At 37.8% G+C, this 26152-nt stretch overlaps 1 protein-coding gene and 1 pseudogene across 12 annotated transcripts in view; both read left to right on the top strand.

Annotated features, from left to right (window-relative positions):
* CDKL2 (cyclin dependent kinase like 2) overlaps window positions 1-25177 on the top strand; it is a 54033-nt gene extending 28856 nt beyond the window's left edge. For 2 of the 12 annotated variants that reach the window (XM_047416383.1, XM_047416386.1), the window contains 7 exons: window positions 1304-1392; window positions 3461-3596; window positions 4437-4738; window positions 5333-5426; window positions 9404-9527; window positions 9748-9854; window positions 19775-20625. In XM_047416383.1, the coding sequence (XP_047272339.1) occupies window positions 1304-1392; window positions 3461-3596; window positions 4437-4738; window positions 5333-5426; window positions 9404-9527; window positions 9748-9854; window positions 19775-19840 (918 nt within the window). In that variant the 3' untranslated portion in view covers window positions 19841-20625. Of the gene's footprint in view, window positions 1-1303; window positions 1393-3460; window positions 3597-4436; window positions 4739-5332; window positions 5507-9403; window positions 9528-9747; window positions 9855-11513; window positions 11957-19774; window positions 20626-22494 lie in introns of those variants that run through there. The other 10 variants (XM_017008809.2, NM_001330724.2, XM_047416382.1 and 7 more) reach the window with 10 other exon arrangements.
* COX6CP9 (cytochrome c oxidase subunit 6C pseudogene 9) lies at window positions 18012-18236 on the top strand (annotated as a pseudogene).
* Window positions 25178-26152: the final 975 nt, after the last annotated feature.

The raw sequence follows: 26152 nt of genomic DNA, 5'->3' as shown, positions 1-26152 counted from the left end.
AAGGAATCATATAAAACTTTTAAAACATTTTATTATGGAAAATTTCAAACGGAAAAGAAAATAGAAAGAATAGTTGTTTAACAAACCTTCATGTACTTATCATCTAGTTTCCACAATTATCAACCTTTTGATAATCTTGTTTAATTTATCTACACTCTTTAACTTTTTTTGGAGTATTTTGAAGCAAATCCCAGATGTATTATTTTACTTATAAGTAGCACAGTTATGCAGAGAAATTTTCTTGTTCATTTAAAGCTACTTATTGAGTCCCTTCTATTTTTACTGGCATGTTAGGGGTTTTAATGAATCAGAACAAGACTTTGCAATAAAATAAAATAAAATAAAATAATCTTTGTAAAGCATCTAGCATAGTGATAAGCACAGGATAAATCCTTTCCTTTCCATTCTGTAATAGCCTTAAGTTTTAAAAATTCCAAATAATTTCTTACTATCATAAAATATCTAATTGATGTTTAAAGTTTCATTAATTTTCACAAAATTTATTTCATTTCATAGTTTGAATTAGGATCTAAATGAAGACTATAGATTGCAATTGGTCGATATATTTTTAAAACTTTATTTATAAGCTTCTCTTCATCTCTTTCTTTTTTGTTTAAATCTTGCAATTTATTTGTTGAAGAAACTAAGTTGTTTGTCCTTAGAATTTTCTACATAATGCAGTATACATGTTCTTCTGTGTCCTGTATTTCTTATAAACTCACAGTAGAGCTAGAGCTCGATCAGAATCAGGTTGATTTTTTGGCAAAACTACTTCATAGGAGGTTTGTGTATTTCCATATAGAGACACTGAATGTTTGGTGGTCTTTTTGTGATACTAGCAACCACTGACGGTCATTGTCTAGATTTGTGCTTTATTCTTTATCCTTGATTATTGATGTGTAAAATTCATTGGCGGGCAAGTGTGGTGGCTTGCGCTGGTAATCCCAGCATTTTGGGAAGCTGAGGAGGGTGGATAGCTTGAGCTCAGAGTTCGAGACCAGCCTGGGCAACATGGCGAAACGCTGTCTCTACAAAAAATACAAAAATTAGCTGGGTGTGGTGGTGTGCACCTGTGGTCCCAGCTACTCAGGAGACTGAGATGGAAGGATCACCTGAGCCTAGAGAGGTCAAGGCTGCGGTTAAGTAGTGATCACACCACTGCACTCTAGCCTGGGCAACAGAGTGAGACCCTGTCTTAAAAAAAAAAATCGTTGACTATAAAGAGGATTTTTTTTCTATATTTATAAATTTAAATGTAGGTAGTTTTTCTTGATATGAACTCTAAGTGTTCTTAATTTTTCAGAAATGCTTACATATTGACCCCGACAAAAGACCCTTCTGTGCTGAGCTCCTACACCATGATTTCTTTCAAATGGATGGATTTGCTGAGAGGTATAGTACTTACCCATGTTTTTCAGGCCATACCAACCTAGGGTTAAAGTCTTCCACAATAGTCACAAATAGCACTTCTCTTATTTCTGTTCCCACCTACTTTGCAGGATCTCAGATATCTACCACTCTACCCCCATATTCCCTTAGCAATAATGCAGTTCCTAGGGGTGGTCTCCTACATTTACTAAATTAGTGCTCTTGGTTTTCATGAAGCGGTCATTTTATGTCTTCTTTCTGTCTCCCTGTGGTGACGTCTACCAGTCAGATCATTGATTTCTATGTTGCTACCAACTGTGTGATGCCATCATCTTAGATGCTGATGTAGTTACAAAAGTGCCATCTCCTATTGCTGCCAAACTCATACCACACCAAGTCCTTTGATACTGCTGACACTGCTGATGTGTTGGAGACCTTGATATGCCAAACCTGTGGGTGCCAGAGTTGCTGGCATGGTCTTCTGTGCTGCTCAAGCTGCTGGCAACAGTGCAGCTGACGAAACAAAGAATAGTGAGATGAGTGGCAGTAACACGTAGCTTAATAAAAGGTAGCTAGGTTTTCCTATTTGCTTTTGTACTCAATTAGTTGTGATATGTTGTTTTTGTGGAAGTATATGAAGAAACTCTGGCCTCACGTAAGTAGATAATTGTGGGTATTCTTTGATTCTATACCAAAACTCTGATACCATAGCAAAACTTGACAGTGGTAGTTTCTTTTTTTTTTTTTTTTTTTTTTGCTCTTGTTGCCCAGGCTGGAGTGCAGTGGTGCAATCTTGGCTCACTGCAACCTCTACCTCCTGGGTTCAAGCGATTCTCTTGCCTCAGCCTCCCGAGTAGCTGGGATTACAGGCATGTGCCACCACAACTGGCTAATTTTATATTTTTAGTAGAGATGGGGTTTCTCTGTGTTGGTCAGGCTGGTCTTGAACTCCTGACCTCAGGTGATCTGCCCACCTGGGCCTCCTAAAGTGCTGGGATTACAGGCATGAGCCACCGTTCCTGGCCCAGTGGTAGTTTCTTAAAGGCTGGTTGCATTGTGGAATGTGAAACCATATCATTGAGTCTTTCTTCCTTTGTTAAATTAAAATCCATTTGTCTGTCTTGCCTTTTTAATGGATCTTTTACCCATGCATGCTTTTGTAATATCATGCTTTAGTCATTTGGAAAATATTAGTTTGCTGAGTTAAGCAGATCTTAAAAATATTGATATATTTCTTGTACAGCATCAAAAATTACATTCTATCTCATAAAAGTTTTGTGAGTTTTGGGAAGCTGCTAAGCTCACAGTGGTGGATACAAGTTTAACAGAATTGTAATTTTTGCATAAAATTTTGAATTTTATCATTAACACAATTATTTCTGTTTTCCTTGAAGTGACAAGATCACTTTGTTTATTTGTTAAAAGAAAATGTTTCCCATAGACCCAAAGTCTTAATAACCATAGTTTTTCTGTCAGTCTTTCTTTCAAGTAAAAATATCTAGTTTAGTTTGTATCACAAATAATTATGCAAGCATTTTTCTTAAGACAACCATAGTGTTTCGGTTTGTAGCAGAGGTGCTTTACGTATATTCTCATTTTGTCACACAGACCATAAAAAAAGGATGCGTTTAAGAGTTTGGCTTTAATGAAGTCAATACCTTTTTGCTGATTCATCAGAGACATTCTTAAGCAAGACTGCCTTTTTTTTTTTTAAAAAAAAAAAGCAACTGAGAATGTGTGGTTATCAAGAAAGTAATGACTGCTAGTACATTTTGGTTTTGCTGCTTTTCTTCTTGGTAAGGTGTCAGCAGTTTTATCCACCACTGCTTTCATGTTAACCTGGTGAGAAAGACAAACATCTTTATGTTAAAATAATAGCATTGACTTTGTGAACCTTCTGAATGTTCTTAGGGATCCCCAAAGATCTACACACCACCCTTTCCAAACTGCTGATCTAGGCCAGGATTTTTCTCATTTTTAATAACATAGACTAGTTTAACATTCAATTTTTAAAAAATAAATATCTTGAAAGTCAATTTTTTTGTAGGTTTATCCATGTCTTACAATTTTATTTTATTATATTTTTATGTAGGTTTTCCCAAGAACTACAGTTAAAAGTACAGAAAGATGCCAGAAATGTTTCTTTATCTAAAAAATCCCAAAACAGAAAGAAGGAAAAAGAAAAAGATGATTCCTTAGTTGAAGAAAGAAAAACACTTGTGGTACAGGTAAATGTTCATGTTTCACATTTTAGATTTAATATACTTATTTTTTTAAATTTTTTGAGAAAAAATATGATTTTGAAAAAAGTTTTCTGAGCAGTGAGCAAATTGTTAACTTTTAGTTTAGTTGTAAAAATGTATCTTCTCAGTAGATATTACCTGTTTAGAAAACTTAACATATCATGTTTTGAGTACCTGTTATGTGCCAGACTGTGCAACAGTGCTTAAATCACATTCATCCAAGAACATCTAGATATGTGTTTTCATGAACACATATACACACAGACACATGGAACAAACAACCCTCACCCCACTTATCTTTCTTAAAGGATATGAGTGAAAAATATTGTCTGTAGAAATTTATATGAAGTAAAAATTTGAAAAGTGAGATTTGGATACTTAACTTAGGTTTGCTTTTCCTGGTGAACTACCCAGGATCTGTTCTTGATAAGGTAATTCAAATCCACCACCAATCCACTTATATCAAGTACACCAAAAGAAGAAAGAGTTATCAGTTTTGTGTTCCATGACTCTGAATATGTAAGAACAAAAGTGGAATTCTTGATTCCTCTTCCATGAGTTTTTCCACTGATGTGTGTGTATGTGTGTGTGTGTGTGTCTGAGTGAGCTGTGTGAATTGCATTTCCATTCTTTTTGTATTTTCCCAATAACTATCTGAATAAGAATCTGGCTTTAATTTTAATCCCCTAGGAAGAATAAAGAAAACAGTTTCAAAAAGGTGATACTTATGATATTCTGCTCTAGTTGACAAGTACTTTATAAGAAGAGGTAAATTTTCATTCTCTTCAGATCATTAACCTTATTAATATTTTTGTTAATGATCAGGATACCAATGCTGATCCCAAAATTAAGGATTATAAACTATTTAAAATAAAAGGCTCAAAAATTGATGGAGAAAAAGCTGAAAAAGGCAATAGAGCTTCAAATGCCAGCTGTCTCCATGACAGTAGGACAAGCCACAACAAAATAGTGCCTTCAACAAGCCTCAAAGACTGCAGCAATGTCAGCGTGGACCACACAAGGAATCCAAGCGTGGCAATTCCCCCACTTACACACAATCTTTCTGCAGTTGCTCCCAGCATTAATTCTGGAATGGGGACTGAGACTATACCAATTCAGGGTTACAGGTATGAATTAGTAAAATAAGATCAAAAAAGTGTTTAAGGACATATTTGCAAATTGCAAGGGTTTGTCAATTCATCCACATTGTTTTTATTCTCAGAATTCTGGATGCTATTCATTCTTGTCAGGTAGCTGTTTCAAAAGACTTTTTGGCTGTGTGATGAAGATTATTAGCATTTGATCAAAACAATTCACCAAAGTCCTGAGAAAGTAGGGTTTTATTGCTTAAGGTGAAGAGAATCTACAGCTATATAGTCTAATAATGTGAAAGCAGGTTGTCATACTAAAAGAGATAATTTTTGAGTGGCTGCTGCTGCATGGTGTGACTGTGAGCCTATAGTAGTATAAGGAAGCTCCATTTGGGAATTTTGCTGAAAGGAGGGTAATGTATTTGGTAGGAGTTGGGGGCTGCTGGGAGGCATGAGGGTAGTGTTAAAGAATAGAATGTTTCACCAGATTTATGTGCATTGTATATTTGAGAATAGACATTACACTCTGGTTAAACTGCTTGTTAGTTGGTGCTGTGTCATTTAGTTTTGTGCTTGAAAAAATAATTATTGCTGGTTCTAACTTAAAAACATTTTTTTTTGTCGTTACAGAGTGGATGAGAAAACTAAGAAGTGTTCTATTCCATTTGTTAAACCGAACAGACATTCCCCATCAGGCATTTATAACATTAATGTGACCACATTAGTAAGTAAGCAGTTCTCAGTAGTAGAAGAGCAAACACCAGTCAGCTCTAGACTTTTATTAAAATTAAATATGATAGTGAAGTATTGAGAATTTTGTTTGGATACACATAAAGTGAAACCTTAATTGTGCATATATTATCCCAACCCATCATAGTCATAAACGTGAAATTCTGAAAGTTTAAGTTTTATGAGTCTAAAAACTCCTTCCTTCCTTTCTTCCTTCCTTCCTTCCTTCCTTCCTTCCTTCCTTCCTTCCTTCCTTCCTTCCTTCTTTCCTTCCTTCCTTCCTTCCTCTCTTTCTTTTTCTTTTCTTTTTTTTTTCATGGAGTCTTGCTCTGTTGCCCAGGCTACAGTGCAGTGGTGAGATCTTGGCTCACTGTAACCTCCACCTCCTGGGTTCAAGTGATTCTCCTGCCTCAGCCTCCTGAGTAGCTGGGATTACAGGTGCCTGCCACCGCACCCAGCTAATTTTTTATTTTTAGTAGAGACAGGGTTTCACCATCTTGGCCAGGCTGGTCTTGAACTCCTGACCTCGTGATCCACCTGCCTTGGCCTCCCAAAGTGCTGGGATTACAGGTGTGAGCCATCTGTGCCTGGCTTGTTTTATTTTTTCTTTAGTAACATAGTAAATTTTCTCAACTTGATGATTGCTGGTCAGTTCTTTTTTAGAGTAGATGAAAAGATAAATTGTCTTATCTCACCCACACCAGATTTTTGGTGGCTGTATTCTATTGGCCAGGGACAGTAGCACACATCTATAATCCCAGCACTTTGGGAGGCCGAGGTGGGAGGATAGTTTGAGCCCAGGAGTTTGAGACAAGCTTGAGCAACATAGCAAGATCCTGTCTCTACAAAAAATTTTTTAAAAAGTTAGCTGGGTATGGTGGCACATGACTGTAGTCCTAGCTACTTGGGAGGCTAAGATGGGTGGGTTGCTTGAGCCTGGAAAGTTGAGGCTACAGTGGTAAGCTGTGGCTGTAATTGTGCCCCAGCACCTCAGCCTGGGTGACAGACCAAGACCCTGTCTCAAAAAAAAAAAAAAAAGAAGAAAGAAACGATTCTATTTATTTATATAATAAATATTTATCAATCGTTATGTGTGAGACACTGGAAATAAATAAGTCAATCTTTCTTTTCAAGGACTTCATGATCTAGAGGATCAGCAAATTAAAGCATAGTATCATATTGTATTTAGACAGAGCACAGGAAGGACCATTATTATTCTCAGCATGGCCTCCAGAATGTTTCTCTTTTGAAGTTAGGTGAAACCCTCATCATTCTTCTGCTAAACTTCCTCCATTAGCTTCTTATCACTGAGGAAAGGCCAAAGTCCTTATAGGGTCTATAAGTGCCTGCAGGATTGACTCCAACCAACCCTCTATCCCATCTCCACCTACTCTTTCTCCATCAATCTGTTCTACCACACTGATTTCCTTGTTATTCCTGGAACATAGTCAGACATACTCCCACCTTTGGGCTTTTGCACTTGCTATTTCTTTTGCTTTGGAACATTCTTCCCCCAGATAACCCAATGGATTTGCTTTTTCTCTTCTTAGCTCACATGAAACCTTACTGTGAAGTCTTGTAACTCATTATGCCTCCCTTTATGTTCGATGCCTTCTCCTTGCTTATTTTTTTTTCCATTGCATTTACCTGACATCGTCTATATACTCTTATTTATATATTGTCTGTCTCCCCCAGCTAGAACGTAAGATTCCAAGGCAGAGATTTGTGCTTTTGTTTTCTTCACTGTACTTTTCCTTCCTATGCAAGTAGAAAAAATAATTTTTTTTTTTTTTCGAGTCAGAATCTCGCTCTGTCGCCCAGGCTGGAGTGCAGTGGCATGATCTCGGCTCACTGCAACCTCCGCCTCCCAGATTTGAGCGATTCTCCTGCCTCAACCTCCCGAGTAGCTGGGATTACAGGCACCTGCCACCACACCCAGCTAATTTTTGTATTTTTAGTAGAGGCGGGGTTTCTCCATGTCGGCCAGGCTGGTTTCGAACTCCTGACCTCAGGTGATCTGCCCACCTTGGCCTCCCAAAATGCTGGGATTACAGGCGTGAGCCACCAGGGCTGGCCTAAAATTTAAAAATGAGTTCAAACTACCAGATTAATATATTCAAAGAGTGAAAATAAAACACAAAATAAATATTTATAATAATACATTTATTCACACCTTAGAATGGGGGTATAAAACATGGGAGAGAGGTATTGTCCTTTAACCTACAAGTTGAAGAAAGTCTAGGCTTATCTCTGCTTGCATTAATTTTCATTAAGGAAAGACTCCATACTGAATGAATGAATGCTTTTCACAACAAAGGGAGGTATGGATGTATTCCCAAAGGAATATTCCTTGTGTGTGTGTGTTTGTGTGTGTGTGAGACAAATTTCCCTCTCTATTTCTCTCACTATCTTCAGAGCTGAAAAATACAGCCTTTTCATCTCTCTCATGATTTGGACATTGTATTTGTTTTTCTTTTAATTATTCTTAGTTTATAATTTCTGTGCCAATAGTACTTTCTTTTTTGGTTTCTTTGTGGATATTTGTGTTTTAAAATCCTGATTTGCTTTGGAAGATTATTTTAATCAGGAAGGCTTTTCAAAATAGCTGGTTCAATACCATTTTGCCAGAACTGATATCAACCTGCTTTCAGGTATTGCATAATCAATGCTGGCTGATAATTTTAGATCTGATTTATTCTTCTTTGGAAGAGGTAATTTATTCTTCTTTGGAAGAGGTAATCAAGAGAGGAGGTGAAGATTAGGAGGGTGAAGACCCAGTGGAGTCTTTCCTTAACGAAAATTAATGCAAGCAGAGCTAAGCCTAGACTTTCTTCAACTTGTATGTTAAAGATCAATACCTCTCTCCCATGCTTTATGCCCCCATTCTGATGTGTGAATAAATATATTATATTATATATTATATATGTTTTATTTTCACTCTTTGAATATGTTAATCTGGTAGTTTAAACTCATTTTTAAATTTTATTTTTTGTACTTGCATATAGTTTTCTTTAACTATTTTATTTTATAACCAACTTGAACCAATAGCCTTAGCGCTTGTTCTATGAAAAGAGTAAGCAGAAACATCCAAAAGAAAGAAACTCAAAAGCTCACTGCAGGACTCTTGAAGACTTTCTGGTAGCCAGAATGGCATAATTCACAGAATATTAAGTTTGAGGCATCAAGGAACCTCCATAACTTAATGTCATTATACATATGTTTGTGTGTATGTAGCTCATTATACATACATATGAATACAGGCTTTCTGTGATTCTCGAATGAAAAATATTGGAAAAGTGTCAAATTCATAAGGATGCAGAATTGAAGTGCTGCTGCTATTCCTCACTATTTTTTCTGACTTTATCAACTGTGAAATAATAGTACTAAGAAAGATCAGGAAAATAATTGAAGTTATAATTCTTTCTGTGTCTTAATAAATTGTATTCCTGGGAAGATAGTATTATATTCTAACTCTGAGGAGCAAGACAAGGACATATATAGAAAAATGAACAACAAAATTATATTGGGAAAGTGAAAAATAAGCTAGGGGGAGATATGATATACATGTGAAGATAAACTGTTCAAAATTTATGAAGACAACAGCAACTATTTGCTGAAAAGCCTAGGAAGTGTAAGGCCCGACCTTGCTGGCCTGAAGAACCAGCGCATCAATGCCCATCTTTTAACCTTTTACTACTTGCTGGGACTTACACACTGATAATTGGCAAAGGAAGAAGGAGAAACTCATAGCACTCAAGTTATCTACTTGTTAGCAATTTTAATGAATTTAATGAGGAAGACATTTGAAATAATTGGATGAATTTTTTTTGTATTATTAATGTCCTTCAAATTTTTTATTATAGACCTTCAATTTCACAAATTTTAGGATATGAACATAGGAGTTACAGAAGAAGGAAAGCCTAGCTAACCTTGAAACTAATTCTTTTTTGTTGACTATGTTGATGATATTAGGTCTCTAGTGAAAAAAACCTCTTTTGGGCAAGTAAGAAAAGAAGAGAATACTCCAGGACAGATGTCCGTTTGCCTGAACTAAACTATAATCATCTCCCTGAACTAAGAGCACTGGGAGGCATAGGTGTGTTGATAATGCTTTTACTTTGTGTAGTCTGTTTAGATTATTTAAAATGTATGTTAGACAGAATTTAAAAATAAAAATTCATACTAACTTTACATATTTAAGTATGTAAATACCTGTTATAATAAGTACATACTGAGGAACACGTAGAGAATGTGAAAAACTAAAAACTAACAAAATGTCTAATATTTTCACTGTGTTTATGGTCATTTCTATCTAGCTCGAAATTCCAGGCTAACAAAGAAAGAGAGCAAAATTCTTTCAGAATCTCGAATTCCTTCTCTGGCTGCTATTGACCTGCACACCCCCAGTATTACATTACATCAGGTACAGAAATACTCTTTATAGGATGGACAGAACTCGGGTCTCTCTCTTACTTACTAGTAAAGTATTTTAGGGAGAGTTTGCTCTTAAGAATTGTGCAGGTTTATTGGTGGGATCTATAACATTTTGCTTGCAAATGTTGTTTGATTCATTGCACTTAGTACCTTTATTACATATATATTTACATAAACATTTCCTAACTTCCCATAATACTTTCTTTTTTTAGAGACATGGTCTCACTCTGGTGCCCAGGCTGGAGTGCAGTAACATGATCCCAGCTCACTGCAGCTTCAAACCCTTGAGCTTAAGCAATCCAACTACCTCAGCCTCCCAAGTAGCTGAGATTACAGGCATGCACCACCATATCTAATTAATTTTTAAATTTTTTGTAGAGATGAGGCCTTGCTATGTTGCCTGGGCTGGTCTCAAAACTCCTGGCCTCAAGCGATCCTTCTGCTTTAGCTTCCCAAAGTGTTGGAATTACAGATGTGAGCTATGGCTCCTGGCCAGTAATCCATTTTTTATAGGTTAAAAATGTGTGTGTCTGGGTATGCAGCCTAGCTACAGTTTTTGTTAGCTACTGGGGTTTTTTTTATATTTCGTAGTATTTCACTACATTAACTCCAAAGTAATAAACAACCTACCTTTCAAAGGGAGAAACTCTGGAATTGTTTTTATTCTTCCAGAATAGATTATCTATTTGACATATTTTCACCAAGACAATCCATTTTATCCATGTTAAAGATTTGCTATTCCATATAGTCATTTTTTTCTATCATTGCTCTTAACTTTTCAGAATATATGTGTTTCTATTACCTTTATATCAACAGCCATATCACTCATTTTTACACTGAAAAAACTGGCAAACTTAAATCTCCTTAGCCAACCATAACTAGCTACAAACTTTGGCTATGGACATTGTACTTTCCTTTTACTGCTTCAGACAGATTTTTCACCTTTGCTTGAAGCTAGGCAACTTTTGTTTTAGAATTAATTCTCCATCCTCATTATTAACACATTTCCATTTCATAGAGATTTCCTGTATGTTGTTCTTTATCCACGGTGATGCTTTTTCCACTGTTAACTCTTTTTTTATTTTTATTTTTTGAGACAGAGTCTCACTCTGTCGCCCAGGCTGGAGTGCAGTGGCACAATCTCAGCTCACTGCAACCTTTGCCTCCCAGGTTCAAGTGATTCTTGTGCCTCAGCCTCCCAATCAGCTGGGATTACAGGTGCATGCCACCACACCCAGCTAATTTTTGTATTTTTATTAGAGGCAGGGTTTCACCATGTTGGCCAGGCTGGTCTTGAACTCCTGACCTCAAGTGATCTGCCTGCCTCAGCCTCCTGAAGTGCTGGGATTATAGGCATGAGGCATTGCCCCCAGCCTCACTGTTAACTCTTCAATAGTTCTGTAGAGCTCTACAAAGGAGTAGTGTTACTGTGAGGATAACAAATTATCTAGAGATGCTGATGAAAGGGTTTATTGCCGTGATTGCTTTGCCTTATCTCTTGCCAACAATTTCTATAGCAACATTTAATTAAAACTGAACAAATTCCTGTCATGTGAAGAGATAATCACTGTCACAGATTCCACATTTAGGAACCATAGAGTATCAATACATTTCTTATATACTTCTTTACTTCTTTTTTTTGAGACAGGGTTTTGCTGTGTCATCCAGGCTGGAGTGCAGTGGCAACATCATGGCTCACTACAGCCTTGATCCCCTGGGCTTAGGCAATCTTCCCACCTCAGCTTCCTGAGTAGCTGGGACCACGGGAGTGCACCAACACACCTGGCTATGAGCCACTGTACCTGGCCTCTTTTTTTTTTTTTTTGGACACATGGTCTTGCTCTGTTGCCCAGGCTGGAGTGCAGTGGCATGCTCATAGCTCACTGCAGCCTTGAACTCCTGGGCTTAAGCCATCTTTCTACCTCAGTCTCCCAAGGAGCTGGGACTACAGGTGCAGGCTACCATGCCCAGCTAACACAATTTTTTTTTTTTTTAGAGATGGAGTCTATTTATCTGTTTATCCATTTTCCAGCTGAGGGACAGTTGAGTTGTTTGCAGTTTTTGACAATTAAACGTGAAGTGTTATATAAACATTTGTAAATGTGTTTTTTGTGTGTGAATATACAGTTTCACATTTAGTTGGTAAATACCTGAAAATGGATTTGCTGGGTCACTTGGTAAGTATATGTTTATAAGAAACTATCGGCCGGGCGCGGTGGCTCACGCCTGTAATCCCAGCACTTTGGGAGGCCGAGGCGGGCGGATCACGAGGTCAGGAGATCGAGACCATCCCGGCTAAAACGGTGAAACCCCGTCTCTACTAAAAATACAAAAAATTAGCCGGGCGTAGTGGCAGGCGCCTGTAGTCCCAGCTACTTGGGAGGCTGAGGCAGGAGAATGGCGTGAACCCGGGAGGCGGAGCTTGCAGTGAGCCGAGATCCCGCCACTGCACTCCAGCCTGGGCGACAGAGCGAGACTCCGTCTCAAAAAAAAAAAAAAAAAAAAAAAGAAACTATCAAATTTTTCCAAAATGACTACACTATTTTGTATTTCAACCAGCAATGCATAATAATTTCAGTTGTGCCTTATCCTCACCAATACTTGGTATTGTCAATTTAATTTTAGCCTTTCTAATAGGTGTGAAGTGGCATCTCATTGTGGTTTTAATTTGTATTTCCCTAACGACAAAGATGTTGAGAATCTTTTCATGTGCTTATTTGCACATGAGAGAGCTGTATATCTTCTTTGATGAAATATCTGCTCAAATCTTTTGCCCATTTTTAATGGTTGTTTGTTTTCACATTGTTGAGTCATTATTTATTTTGATGTTCAAATTAGTCCAGTTTTTCTAGTGGGATCCCCTTCAAGGTAGCTTCTGTCTCCTTTTGACAAGTCCTCATCATTCTTTGAGGAATTCCTTTGAGGAATTCCTTTGAGGAATTCCTTGCTATCTGGCACAACAGATAATGCAGATGGATTTGTACCAGCCAGAAATCAGCCATCTCTCTAAGGATCCCTAATTTCCTTTAGTAGAAAATCATATTTAGAAATTAAGATCTGGGCTCTAGGTGTGTCCACTGATTTGGGGGGAGTCATTGTTCCAAGGCCCTCTTAGTGGACAGAGCTAGGTACATAGACATATGTATATACATACACATTTACTGTGAGTTTATTTCTATTTCTACCTATGGTTACTGAAATCTACAAAGATACCTCTAATTGTGAATCCAACACCCAGGTTTGGCCTAGTTTACTATTCTCTTCTTTAACAGTAAGAAATTTAGCTGTATGTTATTCCATGTATAATTTAATATTTGTACTTATTTGATTAATTATTTTATATATATCTAAACTCCTATTACTGCTACTATGATTTCCCTTTTTTAAAAAAGATATATTTGTCATGTTTTAACATTAAGGTTTTGTTAGCTTCATAAAACAAGTTGAGCAGTGGTCTCTCTTTATTTCCTGAAAAAGTTTAATAAGTTGGTGTTATTTGTTCCTTGAATATTAATGGAATTCACTGGTGAAGCCATCTGTCTCAAGAGCTTTATTCTGGGGAAAGTTTTGGATAATTTTTTTTTTTTTTTTTTGAGACTGAGTTTTGCTCTTGTTGCCCAGGCTGGAGTGCAATGGTGCGATCTCGGCTCACGGCAACCTCCGCCTCCTGGGTTCAAGTGATTCTCCTGCCTCAGCCTCCTGAGTAGCTGGGATTACAGGCGTGCACCACCACGCCCGGCTAATTTTGTATTTTTAGTAGAGAAGGTGTTTCTCCATGTTGGTCAGGCTGGTCTTGAACTCCCGACCTCAGGTGATCCGCCTGCCTTGGCCTCCCAAAGTGCTGGGATTACAGGTGTGAGCCACCGCGCCCAGCCTGATTTCAGTTTCTTTTTTTTTTTTTTTTGAGACAGAATCTTGATCTGTCGCCCAGGCTGGAGTGCAATGGCTCGATCTCGGCTCACTGCAAGCTCTGCCTCCCAGGTTCATGCCATCCTCCTGCCTCAGCCTCCCAAGTAGCTGGGACTACAGGCGCCCGCCACTATGCCCGGCTAATTTTTTTGTATTTTTAGTAGAGATGGGGTTTCACCGTGTTAGCCAGGATGGTCTTGATCTCCTGATCTCGTGATCCGCCCGTCTCGGCCTCCCAAAGTGCTGGGAGTGTGAACCACTGCGCCCGGCCTCTCAATTTCTTTAAAATATACAGTGCTATTCAGATTTTCTGTTTCTTCTTGTGTCTCTTTTGGTAGGTTGTATTTTTTAATCCTTTTGTTCGTGTCATACAATTTTTAAAATTTGTTGGCATGACGTTGTTCATAGCATTCTCTTCTTGTCCTTTTGTTTTGTTTTTGCTTTTGAGACGGAGTCTTGCTCTGTCACCCAGACTGGAGTACAGTGGCACAATCTCAACTCGCTGCAACCTCTACCTCCTGGGATTAAGCGATTCTCCTGCCTCAGCCTCCCGAGTTACTGGGATTACAGGCATGAGCCACTACACTCGGCTAATTTTTGTATTTTTAGTAGAGACGGGGTTTCACCATGTTGGCCAGGCTGGTCTCAAACTTCTAACCTCCAGTGATACACCCACCTCAGCCTCCCGAAGTGCTGGGATTACAGGCGTGAGCCACTGCACCCGGCCTCTTATTGTCCTTTTAATATCTGTAAGGACTGTGATGATTATTCCTTATTTATTTTTACTTTATTATGTTCACTTTCTTTTTCTTGATCAGTATAGTTAGGAGTTTGTCAATTTTGTTGTGTTTTTCAACAAAATCAAGCCTTTGGCATTGTTAATTTCCTCTGTTATCTGTCAGTTCCCTATTTTATTGATGTCTCCTCTTAGTTTTCCCCTTTTACTTACTTTGAGTTTATTCTCTCAATTTTTCTAGGTTCTTAAGGAAACCCATCACTTGGTCACTTAGTTTTTTGTTTTTTGTTTTGTTTTGTTTTGTAATGTAAGCATGTAAAGCTACACATTTTCCTCTAAGCACTGCTTTACCTTCATCCCACAGCTTTTGATATGTTGTATTTTCATTTCTATGCTTACTGAAATCTACAAAGATACCTTTAATTCTAATCCAACATCACAGAGTTTGGTGTAGTTTGCTATCCTCTTCTTTGAGAGTGAGAAAATTAGCTGTATGTTATTCTATGTATAATTTAATATATTTACTTATTTGATTAATTATTTTGTATATATCTAACTTCCTATTACTGCTACTATAATTTCCTTTTTTTAAAAAAGATATCTTTGTCATGTTTTAACATTAAGGCTAGTCCAGGCTGGGCGCAGTGGCTCACGCCTGTAATCCCAGCACTTTGGGAGGCTGAGGTGGGCAGATCACAAGGTCAGGAGATCGAGACCTTACTGGCTAGCTAACATGGTGAAACCCCATCTCTACTAAAAATACAAAAAAATTAGCTGGGCGTGGTGGCAGGCGCCTGTAGTCCCAGCTACTCGGGAGGCTGAGGCAGGAGATTGATGTGAACCTGGGAGGCAGAGCTTGCAGTGAGCCAAGATGGTGCCACTGCACTCCAGCCTGGGTGACAGATCAAGACTCCATCTTAAAAAAAAAAAAAAAAGAAAGGTTAGTCCAAACGTTTTCTAATTTCCCTTGTAATTTCTTCTCTCACCTATGAATTATTTAGAAATGTTGTTTAATAGCCAGGTATTTGAGGTTTCCCTAGATATCTTATTACTGATTAATTTGTAATTTAATTCCATTGTAGTCAGAGAATACACTCAGTGTGATCTTGATTTTTTTAGATTCAATGAGACATGTTTTATGGTCTACGGTCTATCTTGGTGATTGACTTCATTCCCTTGAAAAAATGTATATTCTTTGTTGTTGGATTAATTGTTCTATAAATGTGAAATTAGATCAAGGTGGTTAATAGTACAGTATTCTTCAGGTCATCTATGCTCTTAATTTTTTTTGTTTAGGTCTATCAGTTCTTGAAAGAGTGCTGTTAAAATCTTTTATTATGTTGTAGAATTGCCTATTTCTCTCTTATATCTGTTTGTTTTAATTTAATTTAATTAATTAATTTATTTCAAGACAGAGTCTCGCTTTGTTGCCCACGCTGGTCTTGACCTCCTGAACTCAAGTGATCCACCCACATCGGCCTCCCAAAGTGCTGGGATTACAGGCATGAGCCACCATACCTGGCCTGTATCTATTTATTTTTGCTTCATGTATTTTATTATTATTTTTTTAGAAATGGGGTCTCACTCTGTTGCCCAGGCTGGAGTGCAGCGGCATGATCATAGCTCACTGCAACCTTGAATTCCTAGGATCAAGCGATCTTCCCCCATCAACCTCCTGAGTAACTAAGACTACAGGCACAGCTCACCACACCCAGCTAATTTTTTCTTTTTTGTTTTGAGAGATGGGGTCTTGCTCTGATGTTGTGGCTGGCCTTGCTGTGTTGCTCAAACTCCTGACCCAAACTCCTGACCTCCTCCTGAGCCTCTTGAGTAGCTGGGATTACAGGAGTGAGCCACCATGCCTGGCTGCTTTATGTATTTTAAATCTCTATTATTAGGTATTTGCACATAATTGTCTTGTCTTTCTGATACATTGTACCTTTTCTCATTATGAAATGCCTCTCTTTATCTCTGTAGTGGTCTGTGCTTTGAAGTCTATTTTATCTGATATTAAAATAGCCATTCCAAACTTCTTATACGTATGTTTGCATAGTAAATCTTGTTGATTTCATTTACTTTCACCCTATCTGTTTTTTATATTTATATTTAAAGTGTTTCTTTCACAGACAGCATATAAATAGGATTTTTCCTTTGTATACATTCTGTCAGTCTTTGCCTTTTAATTGGAATGTGTATTCGTTTATTATTTCTGCTACCTTAGAGATGTGGTAGTCCCCCCTTATCTATAGTTTTGCTTTCTGCACTTTCAGTTACCTATGGTCAACTGTGGTCTGAAAATGTTAGTGGAAAGTTCCAGAAATAAACAGTTCTTAAGTTTTAAATTGCACACCATTTTGAATAGCCTGATGAAATCTTGAGCTGTCTGGCTCTGTTCTGCTCAGGACATGAATTGTCCCATTGTCCCGTGTATCCATGTATGCTACCTACCCTTTTATTGCTTAGTAGCTGTCTAGGCTTTCAGATTAAAAAAAACACAATACTGTATATTTAGGGCTTGGTACTATCTGAGGTTTCAGGCATCCGCTGGGGGCCTTGGAACATATCCCTCATGGATCGGGGGGACTACTTAACACACTAAATTAATATCTATTTATTTTCTCACAGTTTCTGGGTCAGGAGCTAGGGCACAGCTGCTTCTCTGAATGAGTCTCACAGGTGGAAATCAAGGTGTCTGCAGGGCTGCATTATTTTCTGGAGGCATTGGGGAGAAACCATTTCCAGGTTCACTTGGGTTGTTGGGCTAATTTAGTTCCATATGGTTGTAGGGCAGAAGTCCCTATTTCCTTGCTGGCTAACAGCTGGGGGTTGTTCTCACCTTCTAGATGCCACTCACATTCCTTGGCTCATGGCCCACTTCCTCTGCCTTCAAAACCAGCAACAGTGGTCAAATCTCTCTTACACTTGAATCTCTCTGACCACTCCTTCTGCCACATCTCTGACTTACTCTGATGCTAAGAGCTCACATGATTACACTCGGCCCACGAAGATAATCTATCCTAATTAGTAACATTTAACAGCTAATTAGTAACAATTAACAGCTAATTAGTAACATTTATTCCATGCACAAAGTCCCTTCATATCGGTACTGAAATTAGTTTGATTAACTAGCTAGGGACAGGAATCTTAAGGGCATAGCTTTACAATCCTGCTGATCACAGAATGTTTAGACCATTAACATTTAATGTGATAATTGATATTTTTGAATCTAGTCCCATCTTTTTATTATTTGTTTTCTGTTTGCTCCTCTGTTTTTCCTTTCCAGTTTTCTTTTGTTTTTGAATAGTTTCAGTATTTTTTCGGCAATATCTTTTTATATTTTTTTTAGTGATTGCTCGAGGAATTACAATATACATCACTAATTTTTCGTAGTCTACATTGTACCCCTTGAAATAAAAAGTACGAATTGCCCATCCATTTCTCCATCATCCAGGAAAGACGTTGGTTTTGAGGTTGACATACCTATAAAGGACAGTAACTACCATGGCTTCCACCGCTTTGGCAAAACCTCAGATGTGTGGTCTTCTGGCCAAATGTCTGCAATTTCATATTGTTGGAGCCTTTATTGTATCCCTGGGGGTTGCAGCTGTCTGTAAGATTGCTGTGGCTGAACCAAGAAAGAAGACATATGCAGATTTCTACAGAAATTATGATTCCGTGAAAGATTTGGAGGAGATGGGGAAGGCTGGTATCTTTCAGAATACAAAGTGATTTTGGAATGCAAAGGATTTCTTTGGGTTGAATTACCTAGAAGTTTGTCACTTACCTGTGTTCCTGAGCTATGAAACATGAATATGTGGTCTAAGAAATAGTTTCTCTTGATAAATAATTAACAACAAAAAAAGTAGGAACATTGCTAACATATTCCCTTCTTCCCAGTTTGCACTTTAAGTTAGAACTTCATATGTACTACATTTACATATCTCCAGAACCCCAATACGTTATATGTTTTGTTTTAAACAGTCATAAATAGTTTAAACAATTTATGAGAAAAAGTTGTCTTTTATATTTACCTAGCTCTTTACCATTTCTGTCGGTCTCTCTTCTTCCCTAGATTTTCCTCTGGTATTATTTTCCTTCAGCCTGAAAATCTTCTTGTTAGCATTTCTTGCAGAGCAGGTCTGACGGTGACAAATGTTCTTAGTTTTTCTTCATTTGAGAATGACTTTATTTTACTTTAATTCTTGAAGTATATTTTATTGGATATGGAATTTGGGTTGACATATTTTTGTTTTTGTTTTTCCTCCCAGCACTATAAAGATGGGATTCTTCTGTCTTCTGATCTCTGTAATTTCTGGTGGGAAATTCTCAGGCATTTGAATTGTTTCCCTATATGTAATGTTTCATTTTCCTCTAGCTGCTTTCAAGATTTAATTTTTATCTTTTCTTTTCATTAGCTTAAATATGATGTATCTAGACATAGTTTTCTTTGAGTCTGTCCTGTTTGGGGTTTGCCAGCCTTCTTGAATCTTTAAACTTATATATTTTACCAGATTTGGGGAGTTGTTGGTCATGTTTTTTGAAATTTTTTTTTCTGCCATAATCTCTCACCTCTCCTTCTGAGAGTCTAATGATATGTATGGTAGACCATTTAGTATTTTCTCATAGGTTCCCGAGACTCTGTTCACTTTTTCTTAATCATTTTTCTTTCTGTTCTTCAGATTGGGCCACTTCTATTCATCTATCCTCAAGTTCTCTGACTTTTTACTTTATCATCTTCATTCTGCTATTAAGTCCATCCAGTGAGATTTTAAAATTTCAGATACTGTGCTTTTTAGTCCCAAAATATACATTTGGTTCCCTTTTATAGCATCTGTTTCTCTGCTAAGAATTCCTATCCCTTCATTCATTTCAAGTATGTTTTCCTTTACTTCATGTAGCAGAGTTATAAGGGCTGCTTCAAAGTCTTTATATGATGGTTCCAACAGGTTTCTGTTTTTGTATTTTTGTAATAAGTAGAAGAGATGGGCTGTAGTGGGCTTACACTGCCTTGGCAGATCAGAAGTATCTTTTAACATATGCATAAACTAAGATCAAAGAATAACATCCACTCAGCAGTCATGTTTGGGACTAAAGAAAAGGAAAAGAACAATGTCCCCTTACTTCATTCTTTTCCATGTAGGCAACTTGAGCTATGAATAGTTAATTATAAACATCTAATATTTGAACAAATAGAATTGAAATTTTGGGGAAGTGGAACTTTTGCAATTACTGAGAACCTATGATGCTCTATTATTAATTTATAGGTATCAGGACCTCCCCTGTCAGATGATTCAGGGGCTGATTTGCCTCAAATGGAACACCAGCACTGAGAACCATTTTGGTTCTGAACTGGGTAGGTGTGATTTCCCATACTTAAAGCTGTGCAGCCTTTCACAGGTACTATTTTGTGGCTTGCTGAATACCAATTTTTCAGCTGAAACCGTCTCCAGTGATTGATTCCATGAGAACTTCTGATAGAGAAAGAGTTGTGCCACTTAGAAAACCAGAAGTAGTATTTATCTCTGAGATGAAATCCCTTTTCGCAGAGCGTACATCTCTTGCTCTTAAACTAATCTCCTGCATTTTATTGGATATAGTAATGTGAATTTAGGGTGACAAGTGCTCAAGAAAGATATATACCTATCTCCCTTATCAGTCATTTGCCCTGTGGGCCTGTAAAGCAAGATTGATTGATTATAATGATGCCTCGGTTAATGTTCTGAAAGATGCATCCTTAGGTGATTTCACTGTTATGCTAACATCACAGTTTACTTACACAAACCTAGATGATATAACCTACTATACTCCTAGGCTATATGGTATAGCCTATTCCTCCTAGGCTACAAGCCTGCACAGCATGTTACTGTACTGAATACTGTAAGCAATTGTAACACAATAGTAAATATTCATATATCAAAACATAGAAAAGGTAATGCATTGCACTATGATGTTACTAGCTACAATGTCACTAGGCAATAAGAATTTTCAGCTTCATGATAATCTATGGGACTACCATTGTATATGCAGCTCATTGTTGACCTAAACATTGTTATACAGTGCATGATTATACTTGGCAATATTTTTCCCAATAAAGAGAGATCAGTGCTATACCAAATTATTGACTTCCTTTTAAATATAACTTTTTTAGTATTAAAAAAGCCAAGGCTGGGCGCGGTGGCTCACGCCTGTAATCCCAGCACTTTGGGAGGCTGAGGCGGGCGGATCACGAGGTCAGGAGATCGAGACCATCCTGGCTAACACGGTGAAACCCCGTCTCTACTAAAAATACAAAAAATTAGCCGGGTGTGGTAGCGGGCGCCTGTAGTCCCAGCTACTCGGGAGGCTGAGGCAGGAGAATGGCGTGAACCCGGGAGGCGGAGCTTGCAGTGAGCCGAGATCGCGCCACTGCACTCCAGCCTGGGCGACAGAGCGAGACTCCGTCTCAAAAAAAAAGAAAAAAAAAAAAAAGCCAAAACAAAAATCAGACATTTTTTTTGAGATGGGATCTTACTGTATTGTCCAGGCTGGAGTGCAGTGGCGTGATCTCGGCTCACTGCAATCTCTGCCTCCTAGGCTGAAGCGATCCTCCCACCCCAGCCTCCTGAGTAGCTGGGGCCACACGTGTGTGCCACAAAGCCCGGCTAATTTTTTGTATTTTTGGTAGAGATGGGGTTTCACCATGTTGCCCAGGGTGGCCTCAAACTCCTGAGCTCAAATGATCTGCCCGTCTTGGCCTCCCTAAGTGCTGGAATTAGAGGTGTGAGCCACCATGTCTGGCCAATCAGACCATTTTGAATGATAATTTATTTGCTCAAGCAAGTCATTCAATGTTTAATATCTCATTATGTAAAATATTATGATGATAAATTCCCACATTCTCACAACTGTATTTATTTATTTTTTTGAGACGGTGTCTTGCTCTGTCTCCCAGGCTGGAGTGCAGTGGCACAATCTCAGCTTACTGCAACCTCCAAGTGATCCTCATGCCTCAGCCTCCTGAGTAGCTGGGATCACAGGTGTGTGCCACCACGCCCAGCTAATTTTTGTATATTTAGTAGAGATGGGGTTTCACTATGTTGGCTAGGCTGGTCTTGAACTCCTGACCTCAGGTGATCTGCCCACCTTGGCCTCACAAAGTGCTGGGATTACAGTCATGAGTCACCATGCCCAGCCCCTAACTGTATTATTGGAATTAATCTGTTAACCTTTACAAAGCATTTTGAGCATCTGTGACATCAAAGGTGAATGTACTGTGAAGTGAACAAAGCTTAAGTTTTGATCTTTCATTTGCACAGGTCCTTTCAAGGCCGTGGGAGAGTCTTTGCAATGCATTCATTTGAGTTAATTCATGTTGAGCAATGAACAACTAATTCATACAAACCGTGTAAACTACAGGGTCTGCAAAACTTGGATGCATTTTGTCAAAATTAGTCATTATTTGCATAAAAGGAGATGTGTGTTACACATGATAGTTTTTCTTTTTTTTGAGACGGAGTTTCGCTCTTGTTGCCCAGGCTGGAGTGCAATGGCGTGATCTCTGCTCACTGCAACCTCCACCTCCCGGGTTCAAGTGATTCTCCTGCCTCAGCCTCCTGAGTAGCTGGGATTACAAGCATGGGCCACCATGCCGGGCTAATTTTTTTGTATTTTTAGTAGAGATGGGGTTTCTCCATGTTGGTCAGGCTGGTCTTGAACTCCCAACCTCAGGTGATCTGCCCGCCTCGGCCTCCCAAAGTGTTGGGATTACAGGCGTGAGCCACTGCACCCAGCCATACGCAAGATAGTTTTGATTGGTAATTATTCTAAAGATTGTCTTAAAAATTTGCTTTTGATACATCTAATTGAAATCTAAGGTTTTCTTAAACTACATAGTACCCACCAATGTTATCAATATATACGATGTGAGAAAGCAAGTGAGATAGAAATTAATTTTTAGAAAGATTTTTTGTAAAATAGTTGGTGGTATATCCTCCTGTGCTTTTAGATGATGCTCTTGCACTTGAGATGACATCTTCTTGCAGCAAGAGTGCTGATATCCCAAGAGGAGAGATTCATGGTTTTGATCATTTCCTTCTGAACTGCCTGCATTTTCTGAGGAAGGCCTTCTAGAAGAAGGAAAGACAAAGACTTCCAAATGTTTCAAAGGAAGATTGAACAAATGGCCCTCCCCAACTGTTATCCCATTACCTTTCACGTCCACCGATGCTATTTCAAGACATATCCAGTGGAATAACAGTGATATGGTTCTTGTTACATGAATGTGTATTTACTGTTAGGAGATTGTATATTTTAAGTTACCATGATTAAAAGTGTGTAAAAAAGGGGGACAGAGAGAAATACTATAAAAGGCCATGTTACTCATGCATTGAACTTTGTGTGTTTTCTGTATAAATGTGTACATTTATTTAGGAGTGGGTTTCTTGGGGGTAGGTGATAAAAATTAGGATCAGTTGAAGAAAATTGAAGAAACTAGGATCAGTAAGAGAAACTGTTTGCTTTACCTGAATTTAACTATGAAAACACACTTAACAATCTTACACGTTTCTAGATATTAAGTGAATATGTAACTCCTGTCCATGGGTAGATGTGTATCTTTGACTTCTGTAATTATTTTTGATATTCTATCAGTGTATTATGAGACTCTGGCCTCCCTGCAGATCTTCTAAGAACCACACTAATGCAAGCGTGACAGAGAAACCTCTTTCGAATGACTTACTACAACTCTGGCATTGGTTAGTTCCATGTATTGTAAGATTCTGGTGCTAATGCTCCATACAGAATTGATCAGGACTGATTACTCTTCTGTGGACCAATTGCTATTGAACTACCCAGCTGAAGAGGGTTTGGGGAGAGAACGTTCATTATTATGGACTCCACTTTTGTCCCCTGGTAGTTTAAGGGTGATACTAGAATCCAGAGAAGTTCCTGTCTCCTTGTGGCCTCAAACACTCAGGCCGTCTCAAAAGCTTTTCACCAAGGTGCAAAATCATTTACCTGCATTCCACACATCTTTTCCAATGCATGGATCCAAAACTTTTTAGGTGGGAGGAATAAACTAAGTTGGCTACAGGTTCTTGATTTCTGGGTTTCTACACATGCTCTGCATTTATCATTTTAGAGAATGGTTGTTTAGGGAACCAGAATTTGTGAGTTTTTTTTTTTTTTTTGCCTTAACTAATTAATAGTGTGTTGCTTTTTTTCCAAAGCCATTGACTAGAACTTAGCTGAAGAATTTAACTAGAACTTTTCTTTATTACTCTGAGGAGCTTAATACTGAAATTCTGACCTTGGATATTTAAGCCTCAAAAGAGTAGGACATTCAAGAGGAGGCAAATAAGGGGTTTCAATGTACAAGTCTATAGGTGGTGGTTAAATTAAAATTGGTCTTGATTTAAAAGCTCTACTTTTAATCTGTGACCAGCTGTTTGACAACATTAGTATGGATAACATGCTGAAAAAACTAGGGTATCAGCATTAATAGGCTGCATATTAAAAAGTTACTACTTTATTTTTACTTTGAAAAACACTGCCAATAGATTCTGCAGCATGGCAAACAGGTAATACTTAAAGCCAAATGGCGCTTCGGCTTATTTCAATACTATTTTTATGTAAAGATCAGTGTGAGAATATCAGCTCAATGGTTGAGGTTCTAGGATCAATTGCCTTGCAGTTTTTATACTAGCTTTTGATATCTTTTGCCTATTAAAACACTTTGTGAACTTTAGAATTAAGGAACTAAAAAATATTTACCATAAGTCCAAGTTATGACTTGAGGATCATATCTGATTAGAACTGTGGCAGAACTACTAGAAAAAGATTCTGCAAATTGGTTTCAGTGATTCTTGTTGATGTAATCAACAAGATTACATAATCAACAATAATAGATATTGAACCAAAATGATCCTTTTTTTAAGTTTAAGGTTATTTAGTTTCTCTTGCAAGGATATGATTTAGTCACACACTAATAGGGAATATGTGTATGTACTGGTGGGGAGCAGTGGGCTTGCTGCATGTATGTATGTTTTAAAATTAATAAATATTATCTTACTGGGCTCCATAGATGGTTTAAATTTAGATTTATTTAATTAAGAGGCTATAAATAATATATACACTACTGTATGGTATTTAACAAATAAGTTTTAAATCTGTTAATTCTTCTGGAAAACTTTGGATGTAGGGATGGCAAGCTAATTTTCTTGTATAGCTGGTGATATAAGCAGCATGGTCATAAAATAACATTTCTTATAAAGACTAACTGGTAATAGTTGTGACAGAACCTGGTTTTCCTGACTGAGAATCCCTTGCTTGCTTAGAATATCTGACTTCCCATTGAAATGGAACATAGAAAATGTGTTTTCTTATGTGACTCTCATTATTGGTTCCTTTATCTTAGTTGTGCTACAATATAAGGCTGGACCTGTAATACACTATGTATCAGACTAGACTGAAAAATGTGATCGATTTGTTTTCTAAGTCCTCCTCTATATAACTGAACCATGGTCAGGGGATTAGAGAAGCAACAGAGCACTGCTCCTAAGGCTTTAGGCTAGTCTTAGTGAATTGGACTGAATGGATTTTTCTCTGTTGTTTTTTGCATTAAGTGTTTTTGCACTAGAAGAGGGTGCTTAACACTCCTCTATCTATATGAATAAAAAATTATGTTCTCACATTGTTTTCTCAAGGGTCTTATTTTTTCTCTTGACAGCTTCAGACATGAAATAACTAGAAAATGTAATTAATGTACAGCATATTTTTTTCTTAACATGCCCTCTGAGAAGTAAGTACCTTATGTTATCACTCGTGGGTAACTTGTGATTTAGAGCTTTGTGTTTATAGATATTTGTGGATATCTGATGTTGAATATATTCTGAGAAATTTTCTTTAAAACCAAAACCCATCCACGAGACAGCACTTTTCTTTGTTTTCAGTGAAAATTTAGTTTTGCCCATTGCACATTCTTAATTTCTATATTCTCTACTTTGGCACTCAGGGCCATCTCCTGTAGAAGTGAAGTTTCTGGTAACATTTTGGAAAATGTATTGTCGATTAATATGAACATATAAGAAAGGTTCAGGGAAATGAAAACAACATATCTCAATTCAGCATGTTTTCCTATCCCTAAGCTAGGGTAGGTTCTCCTATCAGTCTGGAGAACAGGCTTTCATATCAGTTTACCTCCATCCAGCTATCCCACCTGCTCTAGACCTGGAAAGTGATCTTCATTAATCTTGCTGCTAGGATTTAAAAGTATCCCCTGACCACCCCCACCCCCCACCACAAAATAATGTTTTAATTGGTCACTTCCCTCCTTAACCTGTTTTATTATTTTATTTTATTATTATTATTTTTTATAGAGACGGGGTCTCACTATGTTGCCCAGGCTGGTCTTTAACTCCTGTGCCCAAACGATCCTCCTTCCTTGGCCTCCCAAAGTGCTAGAATTACAGGCAAGAGCCACCATACCTGGCTTCCTCAACCTGTTTTTAGTTGTCTTCCTTGGCTTCTCACTCTTTTGTTTACATGTATACCTATCTCCCCCGATTTTTTTTTCCCCTTTAACTAGAAAAGCCATTTATTGAAAGGAGTTAAGTTGCTCCTCAACCCACCAGAAGAGTCAGGGTTAGATTCTGAAGGCACACAGG

The sequence above is a fragment of the Homo sapiens genome, chromosome 4, assembly GCF_000001405.40.
Source record: "Homo sapiens chromosome 4, GRCh38.p14 Primary Assembly".
Classification (NCBI taxonomy): Eukaryota; Metazoa; Chordata; class Mammalia; order Primates; family Hominidae; genus Homo; species Homo sapiens.
This window is presented reverse-complemented; position numbering and strand designations above follow the sequence as displayed.